General features: G+C 36.5%; 1 protein-coding gene across 29 annotated transcripts in view; it reads right to left on the bottom strand.

Moving 5' to 3' along the window:
• The window catches only part of WDFY3 (WD repeat and FYVE domain containing 3), a 297,094-nt gene that overhangs the window by 164,850 nt on the left and 118,591 nt on the right, over positions 1-13,653 (bottom strand). For 21 of the 29 annotated variants that reach the window (XM_011531759.3, XM_011531760.4, XM_047449855.1 and 18 more), the window contains 3 exons: positions 10,010-10,063; positions 6,708-6,817; positions 2,483-2,644 (listed from right to left, as the gene is read on the bottom strand). In XM_011531759.3, the coding sequence (XP_011530061.1) occupies positions 2,483-2,644; positions 6,708-6,817; positions 10,010-10,063 (326 nt within the window). The remainder of the gene's footprint in view (positions 1-2,482; positions 2,645-6,707; positions 6,818-10,009; positions 10,064-13,653) is intronic. The other 8 variants (XM_047449858.1, XM_011531763.4, XM_047449859.1 and 5 more) reach the window with 1 other exon arrangement.

The raw sequence follows: 13,653 nt of genomic DNA on the forward strand, positions 1-13,653 counted from the left end.
GACCAACCTGGCCAACATGGTGAAACCTCATCTCTACTAAAAACAAAAAAAAAAAACTAGCCAGGCATGGTGGCACAGCTTGTAATCCCAGCTACTTGGGTGGCTGAGGCACAAAAATCGCTTGAACCCAAGAGGCAGAGGTTGCAGTGAGCCAAGATCGCACCACCGCACTCCGGCCTGGGAGACAGACCAAAATTCTCTCCAAAAAAAATTTCTCATTCCTCTTCTGCCTCTACTAACCACTTATATTTGTAAGAACTCTGTTACAAAAGTCCAACCAAGTGTGGCAGAGCAATAACTGGCCACATCAACAACAACAAAAAAACTGAATGCCTGCATGAAGCATTACCAAATGCTAAAGTCCCAGGAAACCGTCTGTCACATAATACAAACGTAGGGATTGCATCTATTTTAAAACATTTAATAAGTTCGTGTCAATTGGTTTCCTAGACACAATGATGAAAACATTAGCCTGCGATGAGGAACTAAAACAAAGAAAGTGATACACTAAAAGCAGCAGTGAACTAGGAGTTGGGAGAGCTAGGTTTTTATCACTGTCACTTGCCTACTATGGATCATAAACCGGAATATTAGTTTCCACAACTGTAAATGAGGAGTTTGATTTAAATTATGTTTTGAGTCCCTTTTGGCCTTAATATTCAATGACTTCAGTATGCTAAAGTGACTCCCACATGATCGAAAGTCAGCACCTGGTTTTCAAATAGAAATAATTTTTTAAAAAACTTTGCTATGCTTATGTAGGTATTAAAAGTATAAAATGCAGATTCCATTTATTACCTAAGGCATTAGTTCTTTAAAAGGGGTTTATTGAAATGAGGCTGCTATTCTAATCAGCAAAGATTAACCCACCACATTCATCGGCAATATCTTCAAGCAGCTATAATTCCTATGCGATTTACTCCTTCATTTATTCCCATTGCTTTTCTTAGCCAATCTAATTCAGGAATCAGATAGATCTGAGTTCTAATCCTATTCCTGCCATTTGCTTACATAATCATTTTGGGGAAAAACAAAAGCTCTGAAGTCGTGGGGTTATCTTGCAAATTGAGATGTGAGATGAGAAATGTTAACCACAAGCACAAAAGTGTCTAACAGATCAAGTGTTCAATAAACATACTGATTTAGTATTTTACTTGATAATCCCATTCATTTACTTTCTAAAACTGTCTTGGTCTCACTCTCTCCTGTCCTTTCATCACTAGCAGCTCTACCAAACAGAGTCATCCTTACAGTAAAGAGCCCAGTGACATGAGGTGAGCCTGCAACCATTACTCTATACAGCTCTATCTTTTCTACCCCAATCCACTGTTCTCTCTATTCGCTTCCTACTCTCAGTAGTGGTGATGGTGGCAGTGGCAGTAATCACAGTTACTTCTCCTTCCTATCTACTATGTGCTAAGCTGAAAATCGTACCTTTACATATTATGTCATTTAAGCCTCAAAAAACCTTTTAGGTAGATATCATTTTCATTTTACAGGTGCGAAATCTGCATCTTAGATGACTTTGCTTTAGAGAACTAGATCTAAACATGTTGTTTTTAACTGTTGATTGGGTTAAAAAAACATGTAACATTTACCATCTTAACTGTTTTAAGAGTGTGGTACAGTAGTGTTAACTATATGTACACTGCTGTGCAACAGAACTTCATCTTGCAAAACTGAAACTCTACTCCTATAGAAAAATAATTCCCTTTTCTTCTTTCCCTTAGTTCCTAGCCACCAGTATTCTACTTTCTGTTCCACCTGTATGACTACTTTAGATATATCATATAAGTGGAATCACGCAGTATTTGTCTTTTTGTGTCAAATGTTGTTTTTTTAATACTGTATTAGACCAATGGACAGATTATATTCTATATGTTTGTTTGCTTGTTTTGACAATTTTCTGCCAAGAAAGGATATCATACATGATGACTATATTCCTGGGCTAGCTAATAAAGGTCTATCACACATTTGTTAACCCACAATGCTATTAAAAGAACAGTGCTAACAGTGGGAAAGAAGAGCCTTACAGGCAGGGCAGAGGAGGAGGCAGCCACCACCAAAGTAAACTGTCTTTACAAGTGAAATATTTATAAGCTGGGGACTTCCTGTATATAAACAGCAACTAGATAGAATTTTGAGACATTATAAGAAATATTATCCAAATCTTTATATCATTTTCAAGTTTTCCTTGCTTAGTTCATTTTACAGACATTCTGATATATCAAAAGTAATCTCAATGGCTGGATCTGTTCAGAGAAACAAACTTGCTAATGCCTCACTCAAATATTCCTGAAAAGAATATTTCAATATTATTTCTGCAGATTCAAAAAATGTGACAATTATATGAGATAAAGTCATACTATCATAAATAAAATGAAATATGAGTTAAAAAATGGAATATGTAAAACATCTATTTAGGAAGTATACCCACTTCCCTTTAAATAGGGTGGAGGTAGGCAAATAGCACCTTTCATACCTGTACAAAAACTTTCTGGAGTAGTCCTCGACGTTCTGCTAGAGGTAGCTCATTCTGTGCACCTCCAACTGCCTCAGGCACATGTGGAAGGTCAAAAAACAGATATAAACATTTAACCAGGGTGGAAGGCACTGACATTGTTGTCATGCAGTCCACGGTTTTCTGGAAAACAAGCCAATAAATAAGTGAATAGATAGACACAACTATAATTGGTACAGCCAAATAATTCACAAATGTTAACCCAAAAATTATATATAAAGGTAACTTTTTAAAATGCATGTAAGAATTTAAAAATGACTCCAAGTGAAGAAATATACAACTATGCATCTGAACAATTTTGCTTTAATCAAATAGTGAGATTTTGTTATATAGTAAATTATCAATTAAATTTAATATTTATTTATTAAAAAGCAGCATGTTTCGGAAGCATAAGCTTTAGAATTTAGAAAAAGACACTTAATAACTACGAACTTCAGCAAACTACTTAATTCTCCTGAGATTCACTTGCCTTTCTTATAAAAATAGATAGAATGATACACCCTTCTCATGGCTAACATGAGAGTTATGTAAGATAATACATACAAAGAAACATTAAGCACTAAATTGTATATTCATTGCTGCTTTACTATTATTTTTATCTTTATTCTTATTGTAGATTTTTGAGGCTGGAAAGACACTTGAGTGATAAAGCCATCACTGACACAAATACATCTCTATATTATTTTCAAAGATATCCAGAGGAGAAACTCTAGACCTTCTTACAGTACATATTTCAACATTGTTAAGTATGATATAATATTTATCAAAATTTTCCATGGTGCAGTTTGGAACAAGAAGTTCAACTGCACTAGAGATCAACAGACTGGTATAATCTGTTGATTAGTTAGTTTACTTTCTCAGAAAACATTTATTGAGTGTCCAGGGAATGTCAGGCTGTGTGCTGGGAGCTGGGCATGCAAAGACGAAGCATCTCTGTCCTTCAAAAGACCACAGTCGACTGGAATTATTAGAGTCCTAAGTAACTATGACTTAATCTCTTAAGACTTCAGTCTAACAATGGTAGTATATACAGGCTAATATAAAAGGGATTGACTAACACTGCCAGGAATGGCATTAAAAAGGATAAGGAATTAAAATAAAAAGGGAAAGATCACCTGGAAGATACATAGGAGGTTAGGCCATATGGTACAGTATTTTTGAAGAAACACAGATTCCAAAAATGCTGACTCCTGACGAGCCACAATAATAATGGCTAACCTTGAATTACTGTTTACTATATAAGAGGCATAAGGCTAATAAGCACTTTACATACATCATCTCACCTATTCCTTAAGTCAACCCCATGACTTCATTTGTAAAATGATCCTTATTTCACAAATGAAGCAACTGAGGTTCATCACTTACATACCCTGCTTTAGGTCAGACAGCTGGCTAAGTGGCCTACAAAGTGTGTATGCTCAATGACTTATGAAAATAGTCTCACATTTTATTTTCTTGGCAGTGATGACCCAGTGAAGTGTTACAAACAAAAAGTAAAAGAGCTAGATTTCAGAAAATTAGCTGGTGGTAATACAGATCATAAATTAAATATACAGAGCCAGAAGGAAAGGGTAATTGGGAAACTAACCCCCCAAACCACATGAGAGATGGGGCCGGAACTAATGCAATAGTAGGGTGATGAAGAGAAAGCTTCAAGACTATCCCTGGCAAGATGTGGCCCCTTTCTACATACCCAACATACCATTTCTTGTCTCAAATACTCTAAACCTTTTGTTCTATTCATCTACGATTATTTCTTAACACTTATGTTACCATACATTTAATGTTCAGTTTAAACATCTGCTATGTCTCAAAGTTTACTGAACTCCTCATCTTTCCTTCTACCCTCACTTTCAAAATGTTTAACTCTCACATTTCTATTTTCAATAGCACTATATATGCCCCATTATTAAATATTATGGTACTATCTTTTTCTGCTTCATCTCTTACATCTACACATTGAGTCAGGACCATGTTTTGGTCATCTCTGTGTAACACTGCTACCAGCAGAAAATGGCACTCAAACAAGGTAGCTCCAAACATAACACTGAATTTGCTTTTTAAATGTATCTATTTCCAGATAGATTATTACTAGGTTTAGCTGGCCACTAAGCAAAGTGGTATGATGTTTCATTTTCATTTATTGTAGATAGATTTAAAGTATAACTTGGCATCTAAACTTGTAATTTTTTAAGTGATTAGGTTTTTATAGAAAATATGAATAAATGTAGAAAACTGTATTAAAAGTTAATATTACTTATATTAAATATCAATAGTAAATATCTAAATTATATAAAGTTTTAATAGCAAATAAACATATGCTATTCTAAACCAAATTTTGGTATAGTAACATACATACATTTACAGCTACCATCAACAGCAAACAGAACTGAGATTTTGTTACTCATCCAGTAGAGTCAGATACATGAAAACAATGGTCTACTCTGGGACCATTTGAAGATTACTTACAATAACCAACCCTCTCCATTTGCCTGAGACTGTGCAGTATCCTGAGATGCAGGCCTTCCTATCCTAAAACCTGGAAAATCCCAGGAACACCAGGACAGGTTGGTTACACTAATTCCCTGAGTTAAAAAAAAAAAAAGAGGGCCAGGCACAGTGGCTCACGCCTGTAATCCCAGCACTTTGGGAGGCCAAGGCAGGTGGATCACCTGAGGTCAGGAGTTCGGGACCAGCCTGGCCAACATGGTGAAACCCCGTCTCTACCAAAAATACAAAAATTAGCTGGGTGTGGTGGCGCGCGCCTGTAATCCCAGCTACTCGGGAGGCTGAGGCAAGAGAATCGCTTGAATCTGGGAGGCGGAGGTTGCAGTGAGCCGAGGCCGCACCATTGCACTCCACTCCAGGCTGGGTGACAGAGCAAGAGTCCACCTCAAAAAAAGAAAGAAAAAAAAAAGAGAGAAAAAACACAGCAAACAAATAAAAAGAAAACAGATCATTCCGAGGACAAAATTCTAAGAGATAATTACTTTGGGTTACTGACAGGTTTCAGGATATGGTTACCAAGACGTATGCACTGTATCTGCTGTGGCCAGTCACATGGTACAATTATGTTACAGTTAAGTAGGTCCATTATTACATGATGAGAGTGTTTGAAAGTCCACTGTAACTTAGACAACAGACATTCCCAAGATTGGTACTGACTTTGGTAGGTAATTATACTCTGGATTTTAGAAGGCTGAATTAACCTCTTTCATCCCCAAAACATGAAAGGCCAAAAATCAGGTATCCAAATAGCTCATTAATGAGCACATGCAACATATTTCATGACAGATAATTACAGCTGATTTGGAGGAAATAAAAAGCAATCTCCAGAATAAATCAAATGAGAAGAAAATATATATTATCCTAAAAATGTCAATGTTTCCTTATTTCCCATTAAAATTTAAAACTATTTTCCATGTCATTTGTTCTTTATAAGCTGAGTAACCTTAGATAAAGAGTGATTTTTTTATTTTTCCTGAGCCAGAGTTTCCCTAACATCAGTGACAAAAGTGCTGGCCTGGGCCTGATGGACCCAGAGCTCCTGAGCTACTTGCCACCAGCCAGAAATAGTCCATCTGTTTGCCCAGAATGCTCTACAAATGGTATCATTAAAATAATTTTTTTTTAGAGACAGGGTCTCACTCTGTCACCGAGGCTGGAGTGGTGTCATTATGGCTCACTGCAGCCTCAACCTCCCAGGCTCAAGCAATCCTCTTGCCTCAGCCTCTGAACAGCTGGGACTTCAGGTGCAGGCCACCACGCTCAGCTAATTTTTTTTTTTTTTTTTAAAGAGATTGGGGTCTCTCTATGTTGCCCAGACTGGTCTCGAATTTCCGGGCTCAAGCAATCTTCCCACCTTGACCTCTCAAAGTGCTGCAATTACAGGTGTGAGCCTCTGAGCCCAGCCACAAATGGTTATGTCCTATGTGTGTTACAACATATCGAGATGGAAAACACTGCTCTAAGCCATGCGTTTCCTTATGAGTAAAATGCATCGAACATCAAACTCCTTGCAGAGATGTTATGAGAAGCATGAAATAATGTTTTAAAAAAGTTAGAAGAATACAAATGATTATCATAGTATCTCATTTGGATATAATGATGAATTTAATAATAAAATCACAAGAGAGGCTATAAAATAAAGACGCTGAGTTATCAAACATGAAAACTAAGAACTTACCTGACCAGAGGAAGCTAACAAATTAATTGTCGTTAGAAGCATCCAGCCTCTACTGGCTTCTTCACTCTGATTAATCTCTAGGAACTGAACTATGGCCCGACTTGCAGCCTCTATAAAACCAAAGGGAAAGCCATTAAGTGGGGGAAAAGTCACATATAAAGAGGTTCTTCTTTAAAACCTACCAAGGAAATGAAAATTTACTAAGCACATAATTATATCAGCACTATTACATATAGAAAAACTTTAAAAATAGCAATGTTTTAATGGTATTCATAAACCTTTATATCATTAATACAGAAATGTAAAAGCCAACCTATATATTTCAGGAAAAGTTATGACAGGAGCTAATCAAAAAGTCATGAAAGAGGTGAAATTTGAGCTAAAACTACCTGGAAAACAAGTACATGTTTGTCCAGGAAGTAGGAGTGATTAAGGGTGCAGAGAAAATAAGAGCACAGCAATAAAACAAGAGTGGCTAGAGGAATGAGCCTGACACATACAGATCAAGACAAAGAACTGTGATAACACTTTCTTAACATTATAGAAGAGCACTGTTTAGAAGTGCAGTCTAATACCAACAGTAGTGATTTAAAAAATAGAGATGCCTAATTACGAAGGAGGGTAAGCTACTGGCTGTATTTGATTTTCTGGGCAAGAGGGAGCAAATGCAGTTTCTTGAGCAAAGGAGATGATGAAAGGATTATACTAAGACTATTAATCTAGTAGTAATGTGTATGACAGACTGGAAGGCTAAGGAGAATGGTGAGAGGGAAATAAGAGGTTTCCTAAGTAATACACAGAGGAATAACTTGAGTAGCTCAGAGTAGGAAGAGAGAAACGTGAAATACATAAGACAGCCAATCACAGAACTGCAGACTTGGAAGAATCTTCAAAAGTAAATTTAGTTGATTATATTTCTTATTAGAGAGAAGAGTAAATGGAGAAGTCTCTAAATCTGTATCTAATTTCATCAGCATGGCTTGCCAATTTTTACAGTAACATATGATAGGAGTTAAAATTGTCAGAAAAGAAGTCCAATTTGGCAGGGCATGGTGGCTCACACCTGTAATCCCAGCACTTTGGGAGGCCAAGGCGGGCAGATCACCTGAGGTCAGGAGTTCGAGACCAGCCTGGCCAACATGGAGAAACCCCATCTCTACTAAAAATACAAAAATCAGGCAGGTGTGGTGTCATGAGCCTGTAATCCCAGCTACTTGGGAGGCTGAGGCAGGAGAATCACTTGTACCCAGGAGGTGGAGGTTGCTGTGAGCCAAGATCACGCCACTGCACTCCAGCCTGGGCAACAGAGTGAGACTCTGTCTCAAAAAAAAAAAAAGAAGTAAGTCTAATTTGTTCACTAGGAACTAACTGGGTAAAAACTAACATATACTTGGTGGCTCACGCCACCAAGGTCAGGAGATCGAGGCCATCTTGGCCACTAACACAGTGAAACCCCATCTCTACTAAAAATACAAAAAATTAGCCGAGTGTGGTGGTGGGCACCTGTAGTCCCAGCTACTTGGGAGACTGAGGCAGGAGAATTACTTGAACCCAGAGGCGGAGGGTGCAGTGAGCGGAGATCACACCACTGCACTCCAGCCTAGGCAACAGAGCGAGACTCCGTCTCAAAAACAAAACAAAACAAAAAACTAATGTATACTTAACACACTTCATAAAGAAGTAGAAAGTAGAAAATAAGATTTAGGTTATCTTAGATGTATTTTTTCTTCAACTTAACATAAAATAAAAGTGTTTTATTAGATAACTGAATACAAGACTTACACATGATTCTGGGCTGGGCAAAGTTTCATCTTTGTAAACTTCCATTTGAGGGAACATTTTAGCACGAAAATTTTAAAAACAGATTCTTTTTATTGAGTCTTAACTATATATCAAGCATTGTGTTAAGTACTTGTGGGTTTAACTCATTTAACCTTTACAAGAACCCTGTGAGTTATTTTCTACTAATATATTCCTTACAATAGTATAAGTTGAGAAATGCAGAAGATAAGTAATTTGCCTACAATCACATAGCTAGTCAGTGAAAGAGATCTGGATAGGGCTGAGGTTGAATGATACAGGGAGATTCCAAACTCCATCGACAAAACAAACTATCTTTACATAACAAATATATTTTACTATTTTGTAAAGAATAGCATAACTGTATCACTGTAAAAAAATAACTTTTATTTTCACCTACCAATTTCAATATGTGTCATTAAGAATATTTCAAAGGCATCTCCCACTTTTTATTTTATTATTTTTGAGACAAGGTCTCACTCTATTGTCCAGGCTGGAGTGCACGATCACGGCTTACTGCAGCCTCAATCTCCTCAACTCAAGCAATCCCTCCGCCTCAGTCCCCCATGTAGCTGGGACTAACAGTATGCACCACCATGCCTGGCTAATAAAAACAAAATTTTTTTGTAGAGACAGAGTATCGCTGTGTTGCCCAGGCTGGTCTCAAACTCCTGAATTCAAGTGATCCTCCTGTCTTGGTTTCCCAAACTACTGGGATTACTTGTACCTGGGTGTGAGCTACTGTGCCCAGCCTCACGTTTTATTTTAAATGAGGTAAGCAGCTCATTTTAAAAGTATATAGCATTTAGTGCTATCTTAAAAAATTATGTATACTAGCAAGGAATTTTAAATAAAACCTCCATAAATCAAATGGTTTCTTAAAACTTTGGGTAAAAAATGCCCACTACTAGTCAGAAACATACTGGGTCTTTTAATTTCAATAATATTTAACAAATTCAAATATAAACGATTTAACTTAAGTTTTTAAGAGTTAATGAAAGAATATATTAATATTAACCTATCTTTAGAGTTGTCAATCATTTGATTCAAGCTTTATCTTTCACACTGCATTTCAATACATATAGTTAGAATGAAAAACCCAGAAATGAAGTTAATAAAGCCCAGGATTTCATTAAATAAGTAAAGAATGCGGACAATCTTAAATGCAATTTCTCAGCCTACACTGAGAGTAAACAAACGAATTCAATTAGCATTCAGAACAACCAGAATGCAAAACATGTTAATAAGTGAAATACAAGTTTTCCTTTGCAAAGTCCATTTAAAGCGTATTCCATTTTCAAATTTATGCTTCACAATGATGGTGAGTCACATTAATGGTATTATTATACTTATTTAATTAATGAAGACACGAAGCCCTAAACACCCTTGCCCCCTCCAAAAAAAAATTCCACAAGTTAGTCAGAAAAACAATATTAGAACTCACAGCTTCCATGCTTCTTTTCATTTGACAATATATAACCACATCTTGGGAATGAAATTACCTGAAGGTGTTGTGGCTTTGAAATCCTTGGGGGACAGCAGGGCACACTGTTTTTCTGTTTAAAAAAAAAGGCTGGGTTGTCTAAGTAGGGATTCACTAAATTCCACTAATCCCACCACAAGAGTACTGGGGTCAACATCATCCAGTCTCTCCATTGCTGGATTGCTGCCCATATTGGGGATTGCACTACTAGGTTTAACAGTGGCACCTAGCATGTAGAAAAACATTAATAATAAACTAAAGATACTACTTTATGCAGGTAGGAATTTTCTGCTTTGCTGATATAAATTGACCATGTGCCCTTAAACTTAAGCAGAATTAGAACTGGCTGAGCTAACTAGAAGAGATGGGGGAAAATCTTAAGATACACCCTCTATACAATCTGGCCACAACATTATGTTTTTGTCAAATTAACTGAGTCACTACTTACTTCCAGCAAAAGCCACATGGAGGCAAAGGACCAAGAAAGAATTAAGGGAGACAAGGAGACTGTGACTTGACCTAAACGTATAACAAATCATCCATGTATCCATTTTGCAACTTGATATTCCCTAAAAGGTTTCCATTTTCACAAACTTCAGATAGATGTAAACAACAGAACTGCACATAAGCTTGTTTCCTACTGAGATATCTACAGCCCATATCTCAAGTAATCTGATAAAAAAAAGGCTGTGTCTGTGGGTGCTGATTAGGTAACACCCAAAATAACAAGTCTTCCATAGCAAATTCAGAGGGGTACTGGAAGAATAATCTTGTTCTGGTGAACAACGAACACAGCCAACCTTCAAAGGAATAATAAAAGGTTCACTTCACCTGTTTTTTTGTAGAAAAAGTGTGTGAATGTAAATTAAGACAAAATTCTTTTCAATGATAACCTCCTATAAAATAAAAGGTTATATGAGCTATCTAAAGTAGTCCAACTTACAGAAGAAGAAAGCAGAATGGTGGTTGGTGGCCAGGGGCTGAGGAGAGGGGGAAATGAGGAGTTGCTGTTCAATGGGTATAGTTTCAGTCATGTAAGACACAAAAAGCTCTAGAGATCTGCTGTACAGCATGGTATGTATAGTTAACAGTCTGTACTGCACACTTAAAAATTGGTTAAGAGGGTAGATCCCATATTAAGTGCTTTTTTTAAGCACAATAAAAATAAATAAAAAATAAAGATGAAATATTAAGAGTTGGATGATTTAGGATATACTTAGGCCCTGAAAAATCTAGAACTTTTTACTAGAAAAATCAATAGGTCACAAAGTCTCCATGAATGTATTTTTGATAACAACACTGACCAAAAGAATCTTCCAATGTTCTAAACTAAAAATGAAAGAAAAAAAACAAGGATTCCCATAGCCAGGGTAAGGCTAACTGAGGAGACACTCCAGAATTATGTTCTTCTCTCCTAAAAATCAGGAAGGGTGGCCCTTCTAACTCTACTCCAATTCTCAAAGCATTTAAAAAAAAAAAAGGCAGAGAAATCCTATGTCCAAAATCAGTAAAAATTTAGGTGCTATTAATACACGGGTGAACACAACAGACAATAAAATTAAATAAGTAAATAAAATACTTTCAGATGATAACAAAGCTATGAAGGTTAACATACAATGTGACTGAATAGATACTAAAGGGTGTGGGGACACAGGATAGAAGACCTATTTGAGATACGGTACTTAGGAAAGATCTTTCATGAGGAAGTAACACACAAAATAAATTGAATATCATAGGATTCAAAGGTTAATGAATTTCACAAGCTTAAAACTAAAAATTATGTGAAATTACACAATATGAAAAAAATGTATCTTAAAAAATCCCTAGTTAATAAGATGTCATCAATGAGGAAAAGTGGATGAAGGGCACATGATCCTAGCTACTATTTTTGAAATTTCCTAAGAGTCTACGATTATTTTAAACTTAAAAGTTAAAAAAAATACTTGTGTAATTCTTACTGTAATTAACAATGAGACATCTTCTACTTGATTTAAGACATCTTTCATTACATCTAAAAAATTGCCCTGTGGATGTAAAATCATAAAGGGAGTTAGGAAAACAAATCTCCACTGTAGCAAAATATCTTTCTACAAACATGCAGATTAGGTATTTAAAAATATAGTAACAGAGGCAAGTATAAATAAGTTTTAGGAATTTTTTCCTAATCTAGTATGTCATTCAAGAAAGAATGGGGATACCTAATTTCATCAGCGTGGGTATTTCCTCACAGTACTGTGAAAATGGATGAATACATCCATTAAAATGCTTGTAAACGTATTTTTAAAAGGTATAAACTTTTAAGAACAAGAACAGAATAAGTGAAAGCAATGAAATTTTGGATATTAAAATAGCAGAGAGATTCACGGTTACTGATTAGCAAACCCTAGAATCTTGAAGTAATTCAGGAAAAGTGGAAAAGCAACCAAACTACCAAAGAACCCCTGAGAGGCTCAGGAATTGGTGGCACAATGCACCTTTGGAAGCAGAAGTAAATAAGCAACTACACAGAGAAGGACTGGTGGAAAATATGTTCAAGAGCAGTTAGACCCAAGGTCCCTACTACTATGTGGGCCCTAGACCAGAGGTTTGTTTGTTCACTGAAAAGAGTAAGAGAGGGAGTACGCATTGAGGGGCACAAGGCACCATGTGGACATACAAAGGTAAAATAAAAGCTTATATACTAAAGCTTGAGGTCTCCAAACCTTTCCCCTACTTTGCTTCCAAAGTGCTGAGTCAGGCATATATCTTCCAAGCAGAGACTGGACAATTCTCTGAGCACCTGCTTAGTTTAGGAAAAAGATCACCAAAAAAACAGCCTAGCAAGATCATCTTATGTTGCAGCCCACAGCTGCAAGCTTCACACACAATTAAAAAGCTTTTTAATGCTCCATTCTTATGTAAGAGCAGATGATCAAGGGTGAGACATGTATGGACATTCTCTAACATAAGAGACAAAGACAAAAACAAATTGATAAAAAAACCTTTTTATTAAACCTGAAAGAAACAGATTATTTATGGAGACAAAAATCTGAAAGAAAAACAAGAAACCGCCGGGCGCAGTGGCTCATGCCTGTAATCCCACCACTTTGGGAGGCTGAGGCGGGCGGATCATGAGGTCAGGAGATAGAGACCATCCTGGCTAACACAGTGAAACCCCGTCTCTACTAAAAAAAAAAAAAAAAAAAAAATTAGCCGGGCATGGTGGCACGTGCCTGTAGTCCCAGCTACCCAGGAGGCTGAGGCAGGAGAATCGATTGAACCCAGGAGGCAGAGGTTGCAGTGAGCTGAGATCGCGCCACTGCACTCCAGCATGGGGGCCAGAGTAAGACTCCGTCCCAAAAAAAAAAAAAAACCAAAAAAAAAAACAAAAAAAAACAAAAAAAACCCCAGAAAGGTAAGAAGAAAATGCAGCCCCAAAATAATAGAAACCAGTTAAGAAAGAACACTTAGAAATGAAAAACATTTTTTAAAATGAGAAAAATATAATGTCACAAATGAAAAAAAAAACTCTATAGAAGAGATAGATGATAAAATTGAGGAGTTCTCTTAGCAAGTAGTCAAAACACAAAGATAGAAAATGAGAAGAAAGATAAGAAAATGAGAGGAACAGTCTAAGAGGTCATCTAACTAGAAGGAGAAAACAGAGGAGGATATCATTAAACA

Source organism: Homo sapiens, chromosome 4 (assembly GCF_000001405.40).
Source record: "Homo sapiens chromosome 4, GRCh38.p14 Primary Assembly".
NCBI classification, from domain to species: domain Eukaryota; kingdom Metazoa; phylum Chordata; class Mammalia; order Primates; family Hominidae; genus Homo; species Homo sapiens.